Here is a 25,721-nt window from a genome sequence, read left to right as displayed (position 1 = left end):
AACACTGAGCACAATTTATTCAGATGTTAGACTCAAAGCATCTTTAGTTACAGAAGAGGAAGGCTGTGGTAGTCTGACATGTCTTTCTCATCTATATTACAAGGAATAATGTAGTAGTAATTTCATTGATTCCAAGTCAGAAAAATTTTCAAGCAATAATTTGGGACTTGAAGCCTGGATGGAATTCAGGATTCAGTCCAAATTGCAGAAAATAAAAACTCACAAACAAACAGTGAACACAACTAGACTCTAACAACAGGTGTGCTATGTTTTTTTTCTAAAACATATTTTTTTCTCTCTAGTTATTTTTACTAAAGACAAGTCATTGTAGAACCAATTTATTTGCATAATAAATTTCAGTCTTATCATCTGTGGCCTGAATATTTGCATAAAGTATAGCAAGAATTATTACTTGCCACATAGACTCTTTCTAAAATTGACTTTGCTGGTAGTGTTTGATTCCTTTATTCCATAAGGAATCTCAGATTAGATTTTTAAAGACTTGAGCCCAGTCATGGATTTATCTGTACCTGCAAATACTTATATGAGTTGGGGGAATTCCTCTCCTTAAGGCCCCAAGGTAATTTGGGGCTCCTGGACCTGTCAGGTGACATTCTTTACTTACCACAGGTGAGGAACTCTATACAAGGACTGTGTAGACAAGGTATGAGGCCAGTTTTCCCAAGGGGCTTTTATTGGCTCTATAAGTCAACTGTGATTACTTAAAGCAGTCTGTTTATACCTGAAAGTATGCCACTCTAGTCAAAGCCTTGGTAAAATCACCAGGGTCTCCAATGGTGTCTTGTTACAAAAGAAAAAAGATTCTTATTGAACTTGTGCAAACAACTATACTGCCATAAATTAAGTACACTTACAAATAGTTTTCAAATTCTGAGGAAACCAGGTAGACAGAAAGAAATACGCTCTAAATTTTACTCTCAAGAATGTAATTTACCCAGTTGCTAAAAGCTGCAAACAGTACAAAAGACAAAAGGTTTTCTGAACTCTGTGAAACAAAAGAATTAGCAATGTTTCAAACAAAAAGTTGTAAAAAGACTATTTTGGTCTTCCATTAGTTCAGTCTATGTAATTAACTCCTGTCCTGCTTGACATTTATGAACACATTAACTCTCTATGGCAGTCTTGGAAGTTTTTCCCTCTATTCTAATGTCACAATTTTCAAAGTTATCAGAAACTTAAATTCCAGGGCAACTCTCAGAGTCCTATAGCTGATTATAAAACTGCCTATGAAAAGAATCAGAGTGAAATAACAATTGGCAACTGCATACAGAGGGGTTTGAGGCTCCCTTTCCTTTGGGGATTGCCACCTCTCTCCCCTAGCCTAACAAATAACTCTGCTCACCGCCACTCAGGCCTGCAAAATGAACACCAGGCCACCGGGGCCTGAAGAGTACTGGAGCAAGGGGGTTGCTCGTGGCAGGGTCAGGGGAGGGGCTGCCCAGGCCGAGTGAGGGGCTAAAGTCTCAGAACAGCTGTGGTTAAAGTCTGATCACCTTATGGCACAAAACAATTTAACATAACAATTATAATTGTTACTGATAATATATAGACATATCAGAATTATAGGACATATCAGAATTATGGGAATCCTATACAATTTTGGAACACATGCTAATAATATATTTATATGAATATGACCCAAAGAAAGTTTAAACACCATTTTATATTTGGCAATATTTTTTGTATGGTTTTAGTATGCCAAATAAGCCAAATATGTCTCTTTTGGACTTTAGGGTACCTAATATCTAAAAGAGTTAGCCAGATCAAAGAAAAAGCTTAATTTAGAAGTTGACTTTGGAAAGTTTGTCAAATATCAAAGGTTTAAACACTTACTATTACAAAATAGAATCCCAGGTCACTATATGTCATTTATTTAGCCAATGATATCCCTCCTTCTCAGGATGAAGATATATTCCTATCTTATGAAAACATTCAAGTAACACCCTGGACATTTTCATGTTACTCTCTTTTTTAGTACCTGGTGATTGGCTTTGGTTAGATTTTCTATTTTAACCAATGCTTCTTCCTGTTCTTTCATTTTTAGCTTCTCTTTCAGTTTCTCTGCTTTGAACAGTTAGGTACAGTCATTAAATAGCTTTTGGTTCATCTGCATGAAGAGCTTCAGTGTGTTGGATATCAAGCCATGTATTGTCTTGTTCCAATGGGTCTTTGAATTGCAGTACAAGCATGGAAACATGATCAGCAGAATCTTTGCTGCGCTGTTACTGATTAAGCTCATAATGTATTCATTATTCCGGTAATAGAGCGCTTGCTCTGCCACCTGGAAGTGTGAGCTGGAGACACATTTGGCTAGCTGCCAGAAGAGAGGTTCCATGATCTTCCAAATTCCAATGGTTCAATTATATCTAAAATTTCTTCTAATTTGTTTAAGAAAATTACTTCTTTTGGACTGTAAGTCTTTGGCCCATATTTGAGAAGTGCCATCACCATTGATGCAGTGAGGGTGCTATCCTTTTCTAAAAACTGTACTACACAATATGCCAGCTGGGGATGGTAGACTCTCAGAGATTTCACTTTGTGCAAAGGTATAGCACCTTGACTAAGAAAATCTGTGCTCTTCTTTTAGTGGTAAAACAAATCCATTAATCATATTTCCCAATATATCTAGTAACTCTGCTATGTCATCATGATGCTCTGTTTCATAAATAAACCTATAAAATATATTATGTATCTGTTTTCTGATATAAGCTCTCAAGCCCAAGAATTTCCCATAGATTCTGCAAAGGCTGATTTTAGAAAAAGCTCTCTCCCAGGCCAGGCACGTGGCTTACACCTGTAATCTCAGCACTTTGGGAGAGTGAGGTGGGTAGATCACTTGAGGCCAAGTGTTCAAGACCAGCCTGAGCAACATGGTGAAACCCTGTCTCTGTAAAAAAAATACTAAAATTAGCCAGGTGTGGTGGCACGTGCCTGTAGTCCCAGTTACTCAGGAGGCTGAGGTGGGAGAATTGCTTGAACCTGGGAAGCGGAGGTTGCAGTCAGTGAACTATAATTGTGCCACTGCACTCCAGCCTGGGTGAGAGAGCAAAACTCGGTCTCAAAACAAACAAACAAAAAACTAAACAACAACAAAAAACTTCCCTGAGGATCTTCACTGTCAAAGCACTCTAAAAGCTGCAATACAAACTTCTGATCAATATATTTCTTTGCTGTATTAGGTTGGAAATCTGGAAACTCTAAAAATCTTTTTTTTTTTTTTTTTGAGATGGAGTCTCGCTCTGTCACCCAGGCTGGAGTGCAGTGGTGTGATCTCGGCTCACTGCAAGCTCCGCCACCCGGGTTCACGCCGTTCTCCTGCCTCAGCCTCCTGAGTAGCTGGGACTACAGGTGCCCGCCACCACGCCCGGCTAATTTTTTGTATTTTTAGTAGAGACGGGGTTTCACCGTGTTAGCCAGGATGGTCTCAATCTCCTGACCTTGTGATCCACCCGCGTTGGCCTCCCAAAGTGCTGGGATTACAGGTGTGAGCCACCGTGCCCGGCCTCTAAAAATCTGAAGAAAAATTCATAAACGAGCTGTAAATGGGGCCAAGTTGCTTCTAACATTGGTTTGTTTTTCTCTGGGCCAGATTCAGCTCCTGGACGATAGAAGGTGGTAATGTTTGAAACATGTCAACTTCAAACATATGGACTACTTCTGGGTAAACAGGCTCTGTGATCCTATTCCAATGATGGGTGATAAATTCTTCCATTTCACTTAAAGTAGCTCATTGTTCTTCCTTCCACTTTAAGTCATTTCATGGATCAGAAACAAAGTGGAAGAGGACACAACACTGATGTAACTTCCAAATAAAAAGTGTCTCTTGATCAGCAGGAGGAACATCATTTAAAGATGGTAGTGTTTGAAGTTCTTTATTATTGCTTGTGCTAAACCTTGACGAATTTTGCTGTTTGTCTTTCTTGGCTATGGGCTGAGAGATTGGTACATTAATTTTAGCAGATACTGTAGATGGGACAGCAACAAGGCTATTTTTCCTGAAGGAAGTTTGCTCTGATCTTACTGTGTCTTGTCCTTTTAAACTTTTTCCACTTTTCCCTGTTTTTGGTGATTCTTTTTCTTTTTATTCCTGTGCCACCCCCCAACACCCCGCCCCGGCCCCACCCCCACCCCCACCACATCATTGCCTGCTCCTCGCAGCAGCAGCGCCCCCACCTCATCATCATGTCTCCCTGGCCACAACCACCACCACTGCCATCAGGGGACTGAGTCATTCACTGTTCTCATTCCCCTTTTCTAGGCTCCCAGAGGCTGCGGTAGCTGTGGTGGCAGCTCAGAAATTTTTAAAAAGCAAAAATGTTGCTTGTTGACAGAGGGTAAAACTCAACTTTCCACACAAGACCCAATAAAGACAGCATGAGGCCAACCCGAATCTGACTTTTCTCTCTCTCCCTTCTCTTTTTTTTTTTGATTGTTTATTTAAAAGGCAAAACCAAAAACAAACAAACAAACAAACAAAAAAAACCTTTCATTATCTTTTAGTAATTACATGAAAATCTTGTTCAAAAGAGAAAGCCAAATTGCATCTTTGCATTAGTGTACTATTCTTAATAAAAGGCCCAGGGGTGGTGGCTCACACCTGTAATCCCAGCACTTTGGGAGGCTGAGGTGCGGATTGCTTGAGCCCAGGAGTTTGAGACCAGCCTGGGCAACATGATGAAACACAAAAAATACAAAAAAACTAGCCAAGGATAGTGGTGCATGCCTGTGGTCCCAGCTACCTGGGAGGCTGAGGTGGGAGGATCACCTAAGCCTGGGTGGTTGAAGTTGCAGTGAGCTGTGATTTCACCATTTCACTTAGCCTAGGCAACATAGGGAGACCCTGTCTCAAAGCCAAAAAAAAGGAGGCCCAGTGTGGTGGCTCATGTCTGTAATCCCAGCAGTTTGGGAGATTGAGGTGGGTGGATTTCTTGAGCTCAGGAGTTTGAGACCAGCCTGGGCAAACATGGTGAAGTCCCATCTCCACCAAAAAATACGAAAATTAGGTGGGCATGGTGTTTTGTGCCTTTAGTTCCAGGTACTCGGGAGGCTGAGGTGGGAGGATTGCTTGAGCTCAGGAGGTGGAGATTGCAGTGATCCAAGATTGTACCATTGCACTGCAGCCTGGGTGACAGAGGGAGACCCTGTCAAAAAAAAAAAAAAAAAGCTTCATTAAACCTTATAAAGAAATCTATCCAATTTTAATTAGTTGACCATAAGGTAAAATTCCCATAAACCTTTTATAAGCCTTTACAATATTTTGTTAAAGAAAAAATCAATGCTCCAAGAATACCCTGTTATCCAGACACATGGGCCCAGATTCTGGCTCTGAATTAGGTGTGGCTTTATTTTAATACTGAATTTACAGACGAATTGAAAAATATCCTTCAAATTTTAGCCAACTTGCTCATACTCACAGAACTTCCTTTACAAGATCAATCTTTCACAATTTACAGCTTGTTTAAACCTTCAGTTTTCTCCCGTTATTCTTTTAGGTTAGGACAATCCTTAAAACCTTCTGAATTAGACAAAATTACATTGGCCGGGTACAGTGGCTCACAACTGTAATCCCAGCAATTTGGGAGGCCAAGGTGGGAGGATTGCTTGAGGCTAGGAGTTCGAGACAAGCCTGGGCAACATAGGGAGACCTCATCTCTACAAAAAAATTTTAAAAAATTAGCCAGATGTGGTGGCACACGTCTGTAGTCCTAGTTGCACATGGAGCTGAAGTTGGAGGATGGCTTGAGCCAGGGAGGTCGAGACTGCAGTGAGCCATGATCATGCCACTGCACTCCAGCCTGGGTAACAAAGCGAGATCCTGTCTCAAGAAAAATAAAACCGAAAAAACCCCTAAATATTCCCTTTAACAAAGGCCATACTTCCATGCCTTCTTATAACCTCTTACCAAAAGTACGCTCTACTTTCCTTATAGACCTTGTGTGTTAAACTGTTTCTCTAGTAGTTTCAAGTACATGTCACAGTGTTAACTCTTTGCAACTTTTATTTTTGGCAAAAGACCTGGTAAGTAAGTAAGTAAGTAACTGCGTACGGGATTGTAGAGCTCAGGAGTAAGACAGAGCTGCAGACAGTGTCTGACTCTTCCCAGCCTAAATCCTATCTAAAATCTGTTAGCTGTAAAGCGGACAAGTCAAATGATTATCAAAAATGTCGGCCGGGCGTGGTGGCTCACGCCTGTAATCCCAGCACTTTGGGAGACTGAGGCAAGCAGATCACCTGAGGTCAGAGTTCGAGACCAGCGTGACCAAGATGGAGAAACCCTGTCTCCACTAAAACTACAAAATTAGCCGAGCGTGGTGGTGCATGCCTGTAATCCCAGCTACTTGGGAGGCTGAGGCAGGAGATTCACTTGAAGCCGGGAGGTGGAGGCTGTGGTGAGCCAAGATCACACCATTGCACTCTATCCTGGGCAACAAGAGTGAAACTCTGTCACAAAAGAAAAAAAAATTGTCATAGAAGCAGTTTATGACATTAAAGCATCTAGCAGACAGTATCTGACCTGCCTAATTTAGACCAAATGTATAAATTTTGAAGACATCTTTTATTTTACCAATAATCTTGAAAACTATATTTATTTACCAAAGATTACTAAAGTCATGTGAACTAAAAGGCATTAAATTGCCTATTCTACTGACAAAATATTTGATTTAAGCACTTGTTTTTCTTTAAGTCAAATAATTAGAGCTCTTTTATATAAACTTCACATACACAATACATATAAATACACAGACAGACAGAAGATGATCTGGTAGTTTGAAGACTTTTCATTTGCCAGATTTTAAGTTTCTTCATTGGATTACTGGCTTCAGGGTGGAGCCCTTTGAGGAACAGGGCCGAGAAAGCGTGGAGTTTCTAGGGCCTAACATTTAATCGTGTGAAAAACAGGCATCACTGGAAAGCAGAACAGATTTCCAAAAACCAAGGATTCCATTTTCACACCGAATCCTGAGTCCCCCAAAATTGAAGGAAATGATACAGGAAAAGACAGTACAATGGTTTCACTGGTGCATTTCACTCCAAGGACATTCTCCCGAGGCTGACGGGCAAACCAAAGCCAATCAGGCCATTTTATAATCGGCACATCCCCCATTCCATGCCTTCTAGGTGCCAATAGAGCATGTTTTTCTTCTTGTTTAAATGCGAGAAGAAAGAAATACCAGCCTGTAGTAACGCCCACTCACTGTAAGCAAGTGCCATTAGCCATCCCTAAAAATATATTTGTTACCTAGCTATTACACACCAAGGCTGAAAGTTCTACTGTAATGCAGAGTAATTTCTGATGCCCCTAAAAGTCAAAAAGCTCAGGTAACACAATGCAAAACGGAACAGAGCCTTAGATTTTGATAGGGATCTTTCTACTCACAATTCTTGGAGTTCCATGAGGAAAACAGAGGCTTCTCCTGAAACGGTGTCCGCAGTGCCTCCTCTGTTTCTCCCAAGGAGTCCCAGCCTATCAGAAATTACCTTAGGCCCTCTCATGTGAGCATTGAGGGTAGCATGAAGACAGACAGAGTTCAGTTGACTGAATATATGTATATATCTATCATATATAAATTATTATATAAAAATATATAAAAATTATATATGTTATATTATATGATTGTATATTATATATACTTATATAATATGTATATAATACATATCAGCATTTAGTTAGGCTGACTTTTAATGATAGAGCTTTTTTTTCTAAAAAAAAACAAAAAACAAAAATCTTTTAAAATCCCTTATTACCAGATTCTAGGTGGGAAAAACAGCTGACACCTCTGGCCTTTAGGCTTTTGTTTTTTGTTTTTTGTTTTCCAAAGATATTCTCCCAAGTGAAACCAATAAGCTTTAATTAAGGTTACAGCTTAAGCATGGATGTATGAGGTATCTCCAAAGAGATGGCAAACAGTTTTCACAAGATCTAGAATTCTCTGTAGGGTAGCTCAGAGAAAAGAAAATTCAAGACAGGAAACCAGAAGCTGTCCATGGAGGTGGAAAAGAATCAACAAATGGTAAGTCCCGTAACTATCAACCAGAAAGGACTTACTTCCAAAGGCAGGAGTTGAACCTAGGCTGTCAATGTGAAAGAGCAAAGCCTTAGCTACTGAGTTAGCACAAGGTGATTGCTATTGCTTTTTCCAGGAGTCTAGAGCAGTCACTGTTGAGCTTGCAAAGGATTTTAACCATTCAAGAGAATTAAGGCTAGACATGACATTATGTTGTGTCCTTTTTAGGGCTAAGGAGTCAAAGCCCTATAACTTAACAGCAGAAGTACTTTAAAGGTAATACAGAAAGTTACATGGATGCAATAACCTTGTCAAATCCAGAATTTGAATTAACTTTTAGATAACTTTCGAATTAGATGAAAGTATTCTTTTTCTCAATAAGAACACATCTTCTTTGGCACATTTTATGTAAACCTGGGAAGCAATAAATCCTGAACTGCCTATCAGATATTAGCATTTTATAGATGCAATATTAGCATTTTATAGATGCAATATTAGCATTTTATAGTTCACAATTTTGGAACATATTTCCCATATAATAAAACTTTCTTGAGTGGAAATGATCCAAATATTCAATAAGCATTCAAAATGGGCTAGGCGCGGTAGCTCACGCCTGTCATCCCAGCACTTTGGGAGGCCAAGGCAGACAGATTGCTTGAGCTCAGGAGTTCGAGACCAGACTGGGCAACATGGCAAGACCTTGTCTCTTCCAAAAATACAAAAAAAAGCGGGGTATGGTGGTATGTGCCTGTGGTCTCAGCTACTCGGGAGGCTGAGGCAGAAGAATCACTTGAGCTTGGGAAACAGATGTTGCAGTGAACAGAGATCACACCACTGCACCCCAGCCTGGGTGAAAGAGCAAGGCCGTGTCTCAAAAAAAAAAAAAAAAAAAAAAAAAAGATTTCAGATTTCAAATTATACAAAATTTTTATTTTTTCTAAGCATTTGTCTCATTTATAGGTACTCCATTTTCTCATTTTTAACCATTTATTTAGATTACTTCTGAAAACTAGGTTATGACACAAAGGTGGTCATTATTTAAAGTTATTTCTCTATTAACCACTTTTAAAGCTTGTGAACATCAGGCGTTTATTTAAGAACCTTATAGTCAAACACGTGGACATTTTGTTGATAACTTAGAACAGGGGTCCCCAACCCTCAGGCCATGGACCAGTCCATAGCCTGTTAGGAGCCAGACTGCACACCAGGAGCTAAGCAGCAGGCAAGCGAGTGAAACTTCATCTGTATTTACAGCCACTCGCCATTGCTTGCATTACTGCCTGAGCTCCGCCTCCTGTCAGATCAGCAGTGGCATTAGATTCTCATAGGAGTATGTACCCTATTGTGAACTGTGCATGCGAGGGATCTAGGGTGTGTGCTTCTTATAAGACTCTAATGCCTAATGATCTGTCACTATCTTCCATCATCCCCAGATGGGACAGTCTAGTTACAGGAAAACAAGCTCAGGGCTCCCACTGATTCTATATTGTGGTGAGTTGTAGAATTATTTCATTATATATACAATGTAATAATAATAGAAATAAAGTGCACAATATATGTAATGTGCTTGAATCATCCCCAAACCATTACCCTCTTCCCGGGCTCCATGGAAAAATTGTCTTCCACGAAACCAGTCCCTGGTGCCAAAAATGTTGGGGACTGCCGACTTAGAAGATTTAGCTGTTTCTATTAAACAACATTAAATGTCCTATTTATCAAAAATTACACAAGCAAAGATCATTCTTTTTGGGGCTAGGTTTATAGTTTTTTAACTTTTATGCCAAATTTTGATGCCTTATAATATCTGGCAGAGATAAGTATGAAACCACTTGATCAATAAATCTGAACAAAAATGTATATTGACAATTCATAAGACATTTCTAATATTATTTTACCAATAATTTTAAAGCCAGCTTATTTATTCAAGATTTTCCTTAAGTCTCATGAGTACTCCTTAACTTCAAGTCAATTTGGTACCTTGTAGCAGCAACATATAACAAAATACATGTGTGTACACATAAACACACATATACACACTCATATAAACAAAGATCTTATAGCTTTCATTTTTGAACTCTAGCTAAGAGATATCAATGCAAACTCATCTGTTTATTAAAAAACAGTTGAATCCAAATGGTGGTTTTTGTCTTAACACCGGTAAAGTAACAGCAGATTTAAAGCAGGCAGAAAAGAAAATAGAGGAATATATAGTCTGGCCAGCCTCTGCATAGGAGCCAGGTTTTACAAGCAGGGCATGAGAAAGAGGAAAAGGAAATAAGAAGAAACAGTAAAGCGATAGAAAGGGAGCTCGTGAGCTTCCAGCCACTACACGGCACAGGGTTGATACTCCCATCACCCCTGTTTATCTCCCATTCAGGAGAGCCTCAGCACCCCAGGTCCACATGATATGGGATGGGACCCTCCCACCTTCACAAGTCACTGGTCAAGATGAGCTGTTTCCAGTCATAGGGAGCTAGGGAAGCCTGCAGTTGAGAGGACTAAGGCTGTAGGTGGCTCTCTGAAGATAGTTAGAAGAGTGAGATTGGAGGTAGAGAGGAAAGAAAGAAATCAGGGCCCATTCACAAAGTACATGCAAACAAACAGCATACTTCCAAATGAGTCTCCAATCAAGGAGGCTGAGTGAGATGCTGAATGCCCCTCCCCAGGTCCAAATGGTTCCATAGGCCCAGCAAAGCTCCCATGGTGCCACACTTACAAACAGAAACACCTAAAATGCTCAAATGGTGTCACTAGCAGCCAAGTCTTAGGTAGAACCGGGCCCCAGTGACACCCCAAAAGAAGCAGAGGGTGATCAGGTGCACTTCCAGCTAACTCAGCCACTTCCAAAGTTTGCCGGGTCTTACAGAGGTCACTTTCTTTATACCAGCAGAGAGTTGAAGGCAGCAAATGTGCTGTGAGGCGAAAGGGAGGCTCCCCCAAACCAAAAGCATTTTTGGCAGCTGCTGAGAAGTTCCTGAATGTTCCTGTCATGAGATCTGCTAGCCATGAGCAGCTGGTGCTCACAGGTGACCCCAACAAAACCTTGCCCGGTAGCAAAAGCCGGCTGTCAGGCACAGATTCACCCAGAGCATGCAGCACTTTCCCTATATGGGCCACCAAAATTGTAACCGAAATGCAGGTTCAGCTATTTGCTGCTTGCAGAGTCCAGTTAATAAAAGTGAGTTCTGGTATAAAGAAAGTGATTTTTTTTTTTTAAATTATTCCAAAGCTAGCTGAGGGGAACAAGTACAGGCTTCCTGCCTAGGGGTATCACTTTGCTTTTGGAGCAGGAAGTAAGCACTTTTAAAGGGGGCTTAACATGAATGGCACATGGGGTCGGGGGAAGTAAGCAAGTGCAGCATCTACATGTTAGTTTGGTACCTTATCTACTAGGTAGTCAAGGTGGTGACTGCCTGTGTCTTTGTGGGCATGTGTACTTTGGGTTGTAAATTGACTGTTATCTCTCAAGGCAACCTCCTGGTGGGTGAGATTTCCTTTCTGGAGCTCCTAAGCAGATAGTTAGATGAACTTACCCTGTAGGGAATGTCTGGTGAAGGGGAGGTAAAAGGCTATATTTGCATTTCTAAAGGACTAACTAGAAAGTGGGAAAAGGAGGAAAGAGAAAAGAAGATAGAAAAAATAAATTATCTCTTAGAAAAATGGGGATGGTTGGTTACAGTTCCAGCTACTTGGGAAGCTGAAGCAGGAGGGTTGCTTGAGCCTGGGAGGTCAAGGCTGCAGTGAACCATGATCACACCACTGCATTCCAGCCTGGGTGACAGAGTGAGACCCTGTCTCAAAAATGAAAAGTGATACGGTTTTGCTCTGTGTCCCCACCCAAATCTCATCTCGAATTGTAATTCCCATGTGCTGAGGAAGGGACCTGTAGTCCCCATGTGTCGAGAAAGGGAGATGATTGGATGATGGGGGCAGTTTCCTCCATGCTGTTCTCGTGATAGTGAGTGAGTTCTCATGAGATCTGATGGTTTTCTAAGTGTTTGGAAGTTCTTCCTTCTCTTTTTTCTGGCCCTCTCACCTGCTGCCATGTGAGACCTGCCTGCTTCCCCTTCCACCATAATTGTAAGTTTCCTGAGGCCTGCCAACCATGGACAACTGTGAGTCGATTAAACTTCTTTCCTTTATACATTACCCAGTCTCAGGTATTTCTTTACAGCAGTGTGAAAACAGACTAATACAAAAAGAAAGAGAGAGAGAGAGACAGAGAAGCAGAGAGAAAGAAAGAGCAAGCAAGCAAGCAAGCTTTTTCTGGCCATCTTAACTGAACTTTTACTTATACCATTTTTTCCTTGGTTTGAGCAAATGATGGTACAATATATAGGACTAATGTCTTAGCTCTGTGCTTTTGAAATATACATTTTCTATCTCATTTCACCTAAGAATGTTCCTTTATAAAGACAGGTATAGGGTTACCTAGATAATAATTGCCTAGGGCAATAAAATAGGCAATTGGAAGAGTGTATGGGGAAAAAAAACTATTTAAAAACTGGCTAATGAGACTTGTATAAACCTTTAAGATCTGCTTCTATCTGTGTATCTGTGTCATGTGTATGATGTTTCACTACCAAAATATATAATAGAGCTCCAATTAATTGACTTAAAGAAAAAAAGTAAGTGCTTAAATCAAATACTTTATCAAAAAACCAGAAACTTTAACTCAAATGTCTTTTCGTTCACATGACCTTAATAATCTTTAGTAAATAAAGATAATTTTATAATTATTGGCGAAATAAAATAGAAACATCTTCAGGATTTAATATAGACATTTGATCTGAATTAGGTAGGTCAGATGCTATCTTTGCTAGAGATTTTAAGGTTATAAACTGTTTCTGGAATATTTTTGATGCTTGTTTGACTTGCCAGTCTTAGCAGCACCTTTAGATTCTAGGCTCTAAAAAATGACATGGTAAGGCCTGGGGACATGTGGAGTTCTCTCTCGCCTAACTATGCCTCCTCGCTGCGGTGGGAAGGGTCATGTATTATCTGCAGCTCTCTCCTTTTGTCCTGGGCTACACATCTGATACATAACTTAAATTGCTTACCTCCTAGGTTTTTCGTTTAAAAATTATGAAGAGTTAACATTGTAATTAATATATGTAATTAAAACCACTAGATAGAAGAGAAAAATTCTATATGTAAAGTATATAAGGAAAGTAGGATGTGTTTTTGGTAAAAGGTCAGAGAAATGTAGTGTTTTTTTTTAAGGGAAAGTGATTTTTCCTAGCTTAGACGTTTTTAAGTTGTTTTAAATGGAAGGAAAAATGATAGATAAAATGAAATGGATATAGAAAATTGGGAAAGTAAATTTTTGTCCTAAGATAAAATGATAGGATAAAACTGAAGCTTTCAGTAAGATTGTGGTGAATTGATCTTATGAAAGGAATTTTTTGTGTGATCAAGTTGGCTACAATTTAAAGGGTATCATTTAGTTTTTCTGCAAATTAAACATTAATATCAAGAGCACACGATGCAGGGCCAGAGTCAGAAACCCTGTGTTGGAATAAAAGGGTTTTCTTAGAGCACTGATCTGTTCTTTACTAGAAAATTCTAAATGGTCAAAGTGATTGAGATTGAATGGATTTGTTTATAAGATTTTATTAAAAATTAATTTCAGTGTTAATATACTATGCAAAAGCAAAATTTGGTTTTCTCTTTTAAACAAGATTTTCATGTAATAATTAAGAGACAATAAAATATGTTTGCTTACTTTTTGAGTAAACTGCCAAAAAAAAAAAAAAAAAAGAGGAAAGAAAAGAGACAGATTCAGTTGGCTGCACGCTGTTTTTATTAGGTCTTTTTGTTTGGGAAACTCAGTCTCCTCTCTATCAAAGAGTAAAGGTTTTTTTTTTTTCTTTTTGGAAATATTTGAGTTATCACTTTTGGCTAAATGAATAACCTGTGATCCTATTTTGTGATCTCAAATGTTTTAAACTTTTGATATTTGACAAACTTTCCAAAATCAAAATTTCAGGTTTGAAATCTATTCTTTTTGACCTTATTAACTTTTTTAGATATTAGGTCCCCTGAAGTCCAAAAGAGATTTTGGACTTATTTGCCTTATTTGGTGTGTTAAAATCATAAAGGAAGCATTGTCAAATATCAAATGTTTATTTAACTTTGAGTTAAATAAATATTAGTATGTGTTCCAAAATCATATGAGATTCCTGTAATCCTGATATGTCTTAGTATATATTATATTATCAGTAATAATTATGATTCTGATGTAAATTGCATGTCACAGAAATAAGCAAATTTTCTTGTCAATTGTATCTTTAACCATGACTGTTTTTTTGTTTTTGTTTTTGTTTTTGTTTTTAAGATAGGAGTCTGACTCTGTCACCCAGGCTGAAGTGCAGTGGCATGGTCTCGGCTCACTGAGCAACCTCTGCTTCCCAGGCTCGAGTGATCCACCCATCTCAGCACCCTCGTAGTTGGGACTACAGGCTCATGCCACCACACCCAGCTAATTACTTTATTTTTTGTACAGATAGGGTCTCCCTGTGTCGTCCAGGCTGGTCTTGAGCTCCTGGACTCAAGTGATCCACCTCCTCAGCCTCCTAAAATGCTGCGATTACAGGTATGAGCCACTGCACCTGGCCTGTCCTAAGACTTCTATCATCCATGGACAGTCCTTGTTTTACTTTGATTCTTCTCAAAAAGTAGTTTATGATCAGCTACAGTTCAAAAGTTACTTCTTCTTTAGGGAAGTTCATGGAGAGGACTCTGATGGGTGCTCTTGAATGCAGGTTTCTAAGTTTGGAGGCTGTGTCATTGGACTAGAGAGAAAATTGCCAGATCTTTCATTGAAGAGCTGATATGTTCATGAAGATTGCTGGCCCAGTCTTGGACAGAACAAAGGTTAATTACTAATTTATAACTGAACTAATTTATAACTGAAATAATTTTTTATGCCTTTTTTGTTTGAAACATTGCTGATACTTTTTTGTTTTGTTTTTCAGAGTCAAGAAAACTTTTTTTCTTTTCCTTTTTTGGGAGATGGGTTCTTGCTCTGTTGCCCATGCTGGAGTGCAGTGGCATGATCTCAGCTCACAGAAACTTCGACTGCCCAGGTTCAGGCAATCCTCCCACCTCAGCCTCTCGAGTAGCTGGGACTACAGGTGTGCACCACCACACTGAGATAATTTTTTGTATTATTATTTGTAGAGATGAGGTCTCACTATGTTTCCCTGGCTGGTCTTGAATTCCTAGGCTCAAGCTACTCTCTCACCTTAACCTCCCAAAGTACTAGGATTACAGGCATGAGCGACTGTGCCCAGCTGAAAACTTGAGTTATTTATAGCTTTTTTTTTTTGAGACGGAGTCTCGCTGTCTCCCAGGCTGGAGTGGCGCGATCTTGGCTCACTCCCGAGGTTCCGCTTGCCAGGGTTCCGCCCCCCAGGGTTCACACCATTCTCCTGCCTCAGCCTCCTGCGTAGCTGGGATTACAGGCGCCCGCCACCTCACCCGGCTAATTTTTTGTATTTTTAGTAGAGACGGGGTTTCACCGTGTTAGCCAAGATGGTCTCGATCTCCTGACCTCGTGATCCACCCGCCTCGGCCTCCCAAAGTGCTGGGATTACAGGCGTGAGCCACCGCGCCTGGCCTATTTATAGCTTTTAACAATTGAGTATACTCTCGTGAGTAAAATTTCTCTCTACCTGATTTCTCCAGGACTTGGAAACTATTTGAGTATTCTTAATTTATGTCAGTACAGCTATTTGCTTAGGTTCAATAAGAATCTGTTTTTGTTTTTGTTTAGTAACAGGTCACAAGTGGAGACACTGGGTATTTTACCAAGGCTTTGACTGGAATGGCATATTTTCAGATATGAGAAGACTGCTTTGAGGAATTGAGATTGACTTTATAGAGCTTATAGCCCATCAGAAAAACTGGCATGGTGGTGTGTGCCTGTAGTCCCACCTACTCGGGAGGCTGAAGTGGGAGGATTGCTTGAGCCAGGGAGGTCGAGGCTGCAGTGAGCCATGATCCCACCACTGCACTCCAGTCTCAGTGACACGGTGACAGCCTGTCTCAAAAACAACAACAACAAACTCCACAGACCAAAGTACAGATACAGTTGATCTTTATTCATGGATTCTGTATTTGAGAATTTGGCTACTTGCTGATATTTATTTGTCACCCTAAAATACTCATGGTATTCTTATGGTCCATTTTTTGGACCTGCACAGAACAGTGAGAAATTTGAATCTCCTGGTGTGCCCCACTGCAGCCAAAATTTGTTATCCTGGTGAGGTCAAACAAGACCAAGTTCTGTCTTCTCGTTCTGGCTGTCATATGGTAAAACAAGTATCATTTTTGTGGTCAATTTAGTGCTACACATAGCATTAAATTCATTTTTGTGGTGCTTTGTTGGTGATTTTGCTGTTTAAAATGGCCCCAAGCATAAGGGTAAAGTGCTGTCTAATGTTCCTAAGTGCAAGAAGGCTGTGATGTGTTTTTTGGGGAAAATAGGCATGGATAAGTTTCGTTCAGTCGTGAATTACAGTGCTGTTGGCCATGAGTTCAACGTTAATGAATCACCAATATATATTTAACAAGGTGTCTTTAAACAGAAACACACATAAAACCAGGTTATCTGCTTTTATTTTGTTTCTGCATGTTTATCAGTTGATACACGTTAAACATAGATTGATACATTTGTTTCTTTATATGTACTGATTGCTTGATGAAATTGTCATGAGCAGAGTCTCCCAGGAACCTAACCCCTATTTTCCCTATGAGCAATGGTTCAGTGTCTGTGATGATTTTGTAGAACAGAGCTACTGCAAATAATGAGAATAGGCTGTACAAGCAGCAGCATGGACCCATCTCACAGATGCGTGAGTCAGACAAGGAGTATAGGCAGTAAAATTCTGTTTGCATCATGCTCAAGACCAGGCAAATCTGATCTATGGAAGCCAGAAAGGCAATGACCTCTGGAGAAGCACTGACTAGCAAACAGCACGAAGGCACTCTTTAGGTTGATGAAAATGTTCTCTCTCTCCACCTGAGGGTTGCAAATTAATCTGGAATGTGAGATGTGGTTTTATTTTACCACTGCTGGGGCCAGGAGTGGCGGCTCACACCTGTAATCCCAGTACTTTGGGAGTCTGAGGCAGGAGGTTCGCTTCAGTCCAGGAGCTCGAAACCAGCCTGGGCAACATAATGAGATTCTGTCTCTATTAAAAATAAAAAAAATTAGCCAGCCATGGTGGTTTTATTTTATGACTGCCCAGCTCTTGCAATCTTTCCCTTTGGGTTTGCTAGTTGCATTGTTCCTCTTTAGCCACTTGGTGGCAGTGTTGGAGAAGTGACCAAAACGGCTGAAATTGAAATTCCGGTCTTTTCTAGTTCAATTAAAGGGCTGTTTGTTTCTGGCTGTGTCCTCCGTCCTCCTTTAAGGAACCTCTTGCCTCCACCAACCTCTCTTGTGACACGGTGCCAACAATCTCCTAAGGGGAGCGCCCTACAGAGGTTGGAGGAAAAATTGTGGCAAAGCAGTGTCAATCCTTGAACCTCTCTATCCCTGCGTCTTGCCTAACCCTCCCGCAGGCCCTTCACACCATTTCATGCCTGATCCCTTTCTCTGTTCCTCTCCTGCCCTGCTAGCCCCGCTCCTTGGGCACTGGGTGTGCCCTTAGGCTGTCAAATTCAACACACCGAGGCCGTGTGCGGTGGCTCACGCATGTAATCCCAGCACTTTGGGAGACCGAGGCAGGTGGATCACGAGGTCAGGAGTTCTAGACCAGCCTGACCAACATGGTGAAACCTCGTCTCTACTAAAAATACAAAAATTAGCCGGGCCTGGTGGTGTACGCCTGTAATCCCAGCTACTCAGGAGGCTGAGGCAGGAGAATTGCTTGAATCCAGTAGGTGGAGGCTGCAGTGAGCTGAAATGGCGACACTGCACTCCAGCCTGGACAACACAGCCAGACTCTATCTCAAAAAAAAAAAAAAAAAAAAAAATATTCAACACCCTGAGCCTGATCTTCTATCACCGGGAGAAGGTCACATACCGGGAAATTGGGACATGCAAAGCATATGATCCTGGTGTCATACAATTGATGTTTCTAGAAGTAAAACCTGTTTATCAACATGAAGAATGCTTCATCCTTTTCCAGTCAGCTGCTAACAAGAATGCATTAAATCCACACTGGAGGATGGGGGATTTTCAAGATCTCTTATTAAGTGGTAAGAGCAAACTGCAGAGAAATGTGCATAATAAAACAGTGACTGAACTTCTCTCTGTCTCTGTGTATTTGTATATGATTATATGAGCATAAAGGAAGTATGGAATGATACGTACCAGGCTGTCACCACTGTGTTCTTGGGATGGGATGGCCATGAGCAGATAAACAATGGAAAAAAAAAATCTTCACTGCAAAATGACTCATGCGAACGGTAACATGTATAACATTTTAATCTCATTTATTTAATTACAGGTTAAGATGTATATCTCTGTATAGCTATGTGTGTGCATACATAGACACACAGACACATATACTTATGTATAAATTAAAGCTATTTTTTCCTATATATTTTCTGCCTTTTACATTAGGCCTAGACCTTGTTCACACCAAAATTATAAAAGTATTTTATCTCTGGTTTCTCTGGATGGCTTTGTTTTATTTTACACTAATATCCTTAGTCCATCTGAAGCTTTTTTTCATATAAGTTGTAAGGTAGGGGTTTAATATAATAAAGTTTTATTTTCAAATTTTCTACAGTCTTTAAACAAGCTGTAGTGTATTAGCAGCCTCCACACAGTGACAGGTTAGTACGAGTATAAATTCAGCATGTAATTGTGAAGCCGAGGGGTGGCCCTGGGAGGGTGGAGTTCAAGATCTCCTGAGGTCAGCAGAGGTGGAGAAGGACCAACGTATGTGACTCTGGCTGCTCGTACCTGTAGCTCTTCCTGTTGTCCTGGGGCCTTTGGCCATTTCTGAATTTGCCAAGATGGGAAGAGGTCTGTTTCCAAGGGCAGGCTGCTTTCTAGGTTTTCAGAGTCCACCCCCCCAAACCCCTTTGAGAAACCGAGAGGCAGAGAGACGTGTTTCCTTGGCTTCAGGCAGAACGGTTCTATCCAGCACCCCCATCAGGGGCTATTCTCTATCAATAAGCAATCTACAGCCAATTGAAGCCAAGGCACCTGTGCCGTCTCTTTCCAGCTCATTTTCTACACCAGGTGGACTTCTCAGCGGTGGGGAGCAGCTCTCCTTCTCCCCTCCTTCTGTCTGACTCTTTATCCCAGTACTCAGAGTTCTCATTACCAAGTTATTTCACATTCCTGAGGCCTATCCTGATTTCCTGGATTTCCTAGGAAGGTATTAGATTCTTGCAGACATCTTCTCTCCTGTTTGTTCTATATACACTGCATATTACAGGTGCAATGGCTCATGCCTGTAATCCCAGCACTTTGGGACGCTGAGGTGGGAGGATAGCTTGAGCCCAGGAGTTTGATACCAGCCTGGGCAACAAAGCAGAAAACCCGTCTCTATACAAAATTAAAAAATTAGCTGGACATGGTGGCGTACACCTGTAGTCCCAGCTACTCAGGAGGCTGAGGTGGGAGGTTCACTTGAGCCTGGGAGGTTGAGGCTGCAGTGAGCCATGATCACACCACTGCACTCCAGCCTGGGTTATAGAGCGAGACCCTGTCTCCAAATAAATAAATAAATAAGAAATAGACATTGAAAGAAAATCCTCAAAGCTGGGAAATTTCTATTATACTGAACACTGTTAGAACAGGAAGAATTAAACAAAAGAAGGCCAGAGGGTAGTAAAAGTTTGCTCCCATTCCACACTGCAATAGAATGATAGAACATGTTAAAATAAAAAGAAAAATCTCAACAGATAGTAGAAAGTCAAGAGCATGGAGGAGTAAAATAAATACATCTTCAGAATTTATTAAAACAATGTCAGAGATGAAATGGGCAGGATTCCATGGTTTGTTGTATTATTTAAAAAAAAAAAAAAAACCGCCCAAGAGGAATGAGATGATCTGAAAAAATGCAACTCTGATTGAGTAATCCCAAATGGTTTCAGTAAGGATGGCAAGGGGGCTGTACTCGGAGAACTCAGTGTGTTGGTTGGGGAAGGGCTGAGATGAGCTCTTGAGTAGACAGGTACAAAGGAAAGAGAGGAGGCAGAGAACATTAGAGGGTGACATACACCTTGGAGAGTCATTGCTGTTGTTTGGAGCCTCCCAGGCTGTTGTACTTTGTGATGGTAGCCTTGGGAAACCAATAGAGTATGCCTTCCTCTCCCCTTCACATAATCCTCACCATTTGGTGAGGGAGACCTTGATAAGCCAACTGTAACCCCACACACATTCTTTGGCCAACAATATCACTTGAGAAGACCAAGTCTTCACAGCTGTGTCATGTGCCGGTGTCAGGATGTGGCACCAGGGATGCCTTTGCACAGCCTTTTCACGTTGGCTTAGGCAGACTTTCCCAGGCTGGAGTGCAGTGGGGTAATTATAGCTTGCTGCAACTTTGACCTCCTCGGCTCAAGCCATCCTCCTGCTTCAGCCTCCCAAATAACTGGGACTACAAGCGTGTGCTACCACGTCCAGCTAAGTTTTAAAATTTTTTGTAGAGATAGCTTGCTATATTGTCCAGGCTGGTCTCAAACTCCTGGCTTCAAACAGTCCTCCCAACTCGGCCTCCCAAAGTGCTGGGATTACAGGAATGAGACACCATGCCCGGCCCCATGTCTTTTTTTAACAGAGTTTTAAACCTGGAAAAATGTATACACAATGGTGTCTGGAATTAAGCAGGTACTTAACAGTTATCCCTGTGGATAAACTGAAAAAGTACAGGACGTGAAAAAGGAAAATTCAATAGATTAATTTTTATCGAGTAGTCAAATAAAAAGCATGCCGATGAATGGGACCATGAGAACTTGGAAGGCGGATTCTATTTTCATGATGTGGGGGATCTGTCAAGTGCCCAATTCTAGATACAATTTATCTTAATAATTGAGATGAAGGTATAGAAAGCACATAGAACAAATTTGTAAATAGACTGACACATGGAAAGATAGCAAATAATATCAGAAAAAAATCAGAGAAATGTCTTGTTGGCTAATGCATCTGATTTTCATTTTGGGAGAGTATGACTTCCAGTCGTGCAAGTGCCATGAATCTATTAATAACAGACAGCAGAACAAGGATGCCAGCGAAGCTGGAAGGAGAGTCAACTACATTGCTAAGTTCTAAGGAGATGAAAAGGGAAAGAATTTCATTTTCAAAATGCAAAACAGGAAGACAGGCTGGTAAGAAGTTGTGTGTACATTTAACAGAGAAGTATACGTGAAACAAAGGAGGCTGGAGAAACCCACCACGAGGGATTGTGATGCTATTATTAGAGTACAGGTAAGTTTAACCAAACCATTTAGGGTGCCAATGATCATAATACATATTTTACAAAGGAAAAACCTAGTGGCTTAAAACAACATACATTTATTACCTGACAGGTCAGGAAGTTGAACGTGGCTTAGCTGGGTCCTCTGGCTTAGGGGCTCTCACAAGGCTGCAGTCAAAGTCTTGACTGGGTCTGTGGACTTATGAAGGCTCGCCTGGGGAAGGATCCACTTCTGTGTTCACTTACATGGTTATTAGCAAAATTCAGTTGCTCATGGGCTGCTGGTCTGAGGGCCTCAGATCCTCACTGGCTGTTGGCTGGACATATCCTTGCTACATTGGCCTTTTCACATTGCAGTTCATGGCATGGCAGCTGGCTTCTCTTAAAGCAGGCAAGCAAGAGAGGAAGAGGAAACAAGCAAGTCAGGAGCCATAATCTTTTTGACATCTTCTCGTTTTTGGCATATTCTGTTAGAAGAAAGTCCTCAGGTCTAGCCCAGACTCAAGAGGAGGGAATTACACAAGAGCGTGAGCACCAGGAAGTGGGATCACTAGATGCCATCTTGGAAACTGGCTACTACATGGGGTATAAGCAGGATTAGACTTTGTCAAAAGCAGAAATGCTTCACGGATAAATGTTTGTATTCCTACATTAAGGAAGAGGTACAGATGGTTCCTGACTTATGACTTATGATTTCCTGACTTTATGATGGTGTGAAAGAGATATGCATTCAGTAGAAGCTGTACTTTGAGTTTTGAATTTTGATCTTTTCCCGGGCTAGCAATACGCAATATGGTATTCTCTCCTGGTGCAAGGGAGCCATAGCTCCCAGTCAGCCACACAATCATGACAGTAAATAACTAGTACTGTGTTGCCAGATGATTTGGTCCAACTGTAGGCTAATATAAGTGTTCTGAGCACATCTTAGGGTAGGCTAGGCTAAGCTATAATGTTTGATAGGTTAGGTATAGTAGATGCATTTTTGACTTACGATATTTTCAATTTATGATGGGTTTATGTGGATGTAATCCCATTGTACATTGAGTGACAGATTAAAAAAATAAGAAAGGTCTTTAAAAATGGAAAGAGCAATCTATGGAAAGAATGTGATGAAGGGGATACCAGGCTGGAAAAGAAAAACCAAGAACCTAAGAGAAAAATGAGAAAACTATTATATAAGGAAGGTGTGTGCCCATAAACTAGAGCTTCTATTTAAGCATTAAAATAATCTCAAAAGCTGGGCGTGGTGGCTCATGCCTTAAATCTCAGCACTTTGAGAGACTCAGGAGAGAGGATTGCTTGAGCCCAGGAGTTTGAGGCCAGCCCAGGCAACAAAGTGAGATCTTGCCTCTACAAAAAATTTAAAAATTAGCCGGGTGTGGTGGTGCACATCTGTGGTCCAAGCTACACAGGAGGCTGAGGCAGGAGAACTGTTTGAGCCCAGGAGGTGGAGGCTGCAGTGAACTGAGATCGTGCCACTGCACTCTAGCCTGGGTAACTGAGTGAGACTGTCTCAAAAAAAAAAAAAAAAAAAAAAAAATCTCAAAAGACCCCAGAAGATAGGACCAGACAAATGCAATAGTTTATATGATAAACTGCTGCTTTAAAGACAACATAGAGTTCAAAGACATTTGTCTCCACCCGCCAAAAAATACTTGCCAAGGAAACAACACAATAGCTAATACCTGAATGTGCCATTGTAAGAAACTTCTAGAGCTAACTGGCAAAGACCTGCTTTTATATTTAAGATAGGTAAACTATATTTTTGGAATTAAAAAGGAGGAAGAAGAATCACAGTGTTCGGGGGAATTCCTTTAGAACAGGCCATCTCTTCCCTATTCTAGGAGGCAGGCCTGGTGCTCTGGCCCTGGCTCACCTTTCTGGCCTTTCCCACCCCTCCCTGCCAAGCACCTCTGCTGCAGCCACACTGGCCTCCCCAGCAATCACGTGAATACCAGCTTCCCCCGAAATCTCATTTCCTTTAGGAAGAACTTCCCTGATCAGCACGTAAAATAGCATCGATCTTGACGCATCCTGTTTTCCTGCTTTTATTTTTCTTTATAGCAATTTCCACTTTCTGAATTTAAATGTTTATTTCTTTGTTTATTGCCTGACTCCTCTGAGATAAAAGCTCTATGAATTCAAGGACTGGGCTCACTTCTGTAGGACCTGGAAAAGCATGCCATTGACTCTTATCAAGCAGATGAAAGAAAAACATACAATAAGTGAAGTCCATAAAAAATAGAAGAACCCAACAGAAAATGGGCGAAAAAGGTGAAGAACAATGACAATTTCCTAGAGCTGCACTAATATAAATGTATGTGCATGAGGAATATTTGTATTTTTGTATAATATGTAATCCATTAAAAAAATTCCGAGAGATTCAAATGAACTAAAGTACTCGAAAATGTTTAAGCCCCCCGCGCAACAACTCTCGCGCCCCCTGTCGGCGCGCTGGTAAATTTCTGAGGATTCTCAGCAAGAGGACTGAACTCACCCTCCCTCTTTTACAAAATGTATTCTTGTCGCTATTTCATTGGCTGTACCTTTCAGACGCCCCTTTCACATTAGTCAAGCCTCCAGTCCATCACTTCCGGACCCAAGCCCTCTATTGGTCAGCTGTAGGCGACAGCAGACAGCGGGCCGCGCTCAAGCAGGAGGAGTTCCTCGGTGACGTCACAGACACTCCCCGGCTACATTCCAAGGCGTGGGCGGAGACTTCCCGCGGCCTCTGCCTTTGGGGGCGGGACAAAGCCGAGAATGAGACTTCTGATTGGGTCTGCTAGGCAAGGCGGATATCCAATTGGTCAAGCCTTGGAGGGAGGTGGGGCCGCAGCTGGGTCCTGGAGCAGAGCCGAGGAGCCCTGGGGTCCCTCAAAGTTTGTGTCTGGAGCCGTAGCGGCAAGTGGGCTTGCGGCTAAGGGATTTTCCTGGGATGAGAGCGGGTCTTCTGCCTTCATTTTGGATGCACATCCCGCTTTAGCCCCGGCAGCCTTTGGTCCGGCTCGTGTCCCTGGGGATTCTCGGATCTCCGAGGACACCGGACGGGAGCGCTTGGCCATCCTCTCTCCGGCAGAGGAGCAGACGTTTGCTTTCCAAGTGCAAAACTACAGACACGCGCGCGCACACACGCAAGCACACGCGGAGAGAGAGGAACCTTGCCGGTCCGAGGCAGCTCTGCGCGTCCCCTCCTGCGCTTAGCATCCTCGGCCCAGCGCGGCCCGCACCGCCATGGAGGTGCTGGAGAGCGGGGAGCAGGGCGTGCTGCAGTGGGACCGCAAGCTGAGCGAGCTGTCAGAGCCCGGGGACGGCGAGGCCCTCATGTACCACACGGTGAGGACCCGGCGGGCGGGGCAGGAGGGCTTTCAAAGCGGGCAAGTGTTGTCACGCGAGGAGCAGCTGGAGTCCTGGGACCCGGGAAGGCAGGGTTTGGGGCAGGGCATGGTCAGAATCAAGAGGTCCTGGGCGAGGTGTACTTTAATGTCTGAGCAGATGAAGGCGGGCAGCTGGCCCCTTTACATTTCTCATGAGAGTAATGCCACTTTGTATTCCTTTAACAATTCATGCTTTTTTCCCTGAGGCTTTTTCCATCTGTAATATCATTTGCTGTTGTTAACAGTACTGTAATGCGGGAGAGGGAGTGTGTGTTTTGAGAATAACATGCCTCCGCCTAGTTTGCTATTGATTTTTTTTTGAGGTTTTCAAAAACTGGACAAGATTAAGTAGCATTTCCTTTTCATCTGTCTCGTATTCTCTCTCCCTCTCTCCCTCCCTTCCTCTTCTTTCATATTTATATTTTAAAAAGTACACGTGTGTGTGTGTGTGTGTGTGTGTGTGTGTGTGTGTGTGTGTGTTGAAAGGGCTCCTCTACGTTAGGGAGAAAGGCGGCTTTATTTGCTTTCTTAAACTGTACGACCAAGAAGTCTCCTTCCTCCCTCTTCGGAGGAAAAACCAGCAGAGGAGTATGGAAAATCTGAGACAGTTGCATATTTAAGAAAGGCTCTGGGGAAGGTGGGACAGCTCACCAGTTGCTTGTTCAGTCTTATACTAATGCCTCAGAGATCTCTTGGGGGATTAAGCTGTCCCAGAGCACGCACATTTCTTTTAAAGTTTTTAATGTCAAGTTTTTGGTATTAAGTTTGCAAAATGAAATTTTGTTTTCAATAGCCAGCACTGATCATAGGACTTTATGCAAGATCTCTTTGTTTGATTCTTATCCATGCAGACGTTTGTAATGGGGGTGGGGCTGGGGTGAGGGGGGACACTAATGAGAAAACCACTGGAGGCTTGGCTGCTTCCCCTTCACGCT

General features: G+C 41.6%; 1 protein-coding gene, 1 long non-coding RNA gene and 1 pseudogene across 5 annotated transcripts in view, besides 7 other annotated features; 1 reads left to right on the top strand and 2 right to left on the bottom strand.

Moving 5' to 3' along the window:
• On the bottom strand, positions 1,903-3,877 carry LOC100128052 (protein phosphatase 2 regulatory subunit B'gamma pseudogene; annotated as a pseudogene).
• Positions 4,436-24,042, bottom strand: LOC124901752 (uncharacterized). 3 transcript variants are annotated; one of them, XR_007060551.1, is made up of 3 exons: positions 23,959-24,042; positions 21,518-21,793; positions 4,436-5,162 (listed from the first exon to the last, which is right to left on the bottom strand). It is a non-coding gene; the product is annotated as an uncharacterized LOC124901752 (long non-coding RNA). The 3 variants fall into 3 exon arrangements; XR_007060552.1 differs by lacking the exon at positions 4,436-5,162 and adding an exon at positions 18,174-18,247; XR_007060550.1 differs by lacking the exon at positions 4,436-5,162 and having other exon boundaries at positions 21,491-21,793.
• Positions 23,964-24,013: an enhancer, noted in NCBI's record as "active region_26740". NCBI's record gives its function as "activates an Ori minimal core promoter by ATAC-STARR-seq in GM12878 lymphoblastoid cells {active_cell/tissue: GM12878}" and the evidence as "EXISTENCE:reporter gene assay evidence [ECO:0000049][PMID:35858748]".
• Positions 24,042-24,639: an enhancer, noted in NCBI's record as "H3K27ac hESC enhancer chr7:137686456-137687053 (GRCh37/hg19 assembly coordinates)". NCBI's record gives its function as "activates a minimal SCP1, AML or CMV promoter by ChIP-STARR-seq in primed H9 embryonic stem cells {active_cell/tissue: H9 hESC(primed)}" and the evidence as "EXISTENCE:reporter gene assay evidence [ECO:0000049][PMID:30033119]".
• Positions 24,244-24,313: an enhancer, noted in NCBI's record as "active region_26739". NCBI's record gives its function as "activates an Ori minimal core promoter by ATAC-STARR-seq in GM12878 lymphoblastoid cells {active_cell/tissue: GM12878}" and the evidence as "EXISTENCE:reporter gene assay evidence [ECO:0000049][PMID:35858748]".
• Positions 24,263-25,721, top strand: part of CREB3L2 (cAMP responsive element binding protein 3 like 2) — a 127,108-nt gene continuing 125,649 nt past the window's right edge. For both annotated transcript variants that reach the window (NM_194071.4, NM_001253775.2), the window contains exon 1: positions 24,263-24,745. In NM_194071.4, coding sequence (NP_919047.2) covers positions 24,644-24,745 — 102 coding nt within the window. In that variant the 5' untranslated portion in view covers positions 24,263-24,643. The remainder of the gene's footprint in view (positions 24,746-25,721) is intronic.
• Positions 24,404-24,493: an enhancer, noted in NCBI's record as "active region_26738". NCBI's record gives its function as "activates an Ori minimal core promoter by ATAC-STARR-seq in GM12878 lymphoblastoid cells {active_cell/tissue: GM12878}" and the evidence as "EXISTENCE:reporter gene assay evidence [ECO:0000049][PMID:35858748]".
• Positions 24,584-24,723: an enhancer, noted in NCBI's record as "active region_26737". NCBI's record gives its function as "activates an Ori minimal core promoter by ATAC-STARR-seq in GM12878 lymphoblastoid cells {active_cell/tissue: GM12878}" and the evidence as "EXISTENCE:reporter gene assay evidence [ECO:0000049][PMID:35858748]".
• Positions 24,584-25,238: a biological region, named in NCBI's record as "H3K27ac hESC enhancer GRCh37_chr7:137685857-137686455".
• Positions 24,640-25,238: an enhancer, noted in NCBI's record as "H3K27ac hESC enhancer chr7:137685857-137686455 (GRCh37/hg19 assembly coordinates)". NCBI's record gives its function as "activates a minimal SCP1, AML or CMV promoter by ChIP-STARR-seq in naive H9 embryonic stem cells {active_cell/tissue: H9 hESC(naive)}" and the evidence as "EXISTENCE:reporter gene assay evidence [ECO:0000049][PMID:30033119]".

The sequence above is a fragment of the Homo sapiens genome, chromosome 7 (assembly GCF_000001405.40).
Source record: "Homo sapiens chromosome 7, GRCh38.p14 Primary Assembly".
Classification (NCBI taxonomy): Eukaryota; Metazoa; Chordata; class Mammalia; order Primates; family Hominidae; genus Homo; species Homo sapiens.
The sequence above is the reverse complement of the archived record's forward strand: the minus strand, read 5'-3'. Positions and strand labels throughout refer to the sequence as shown.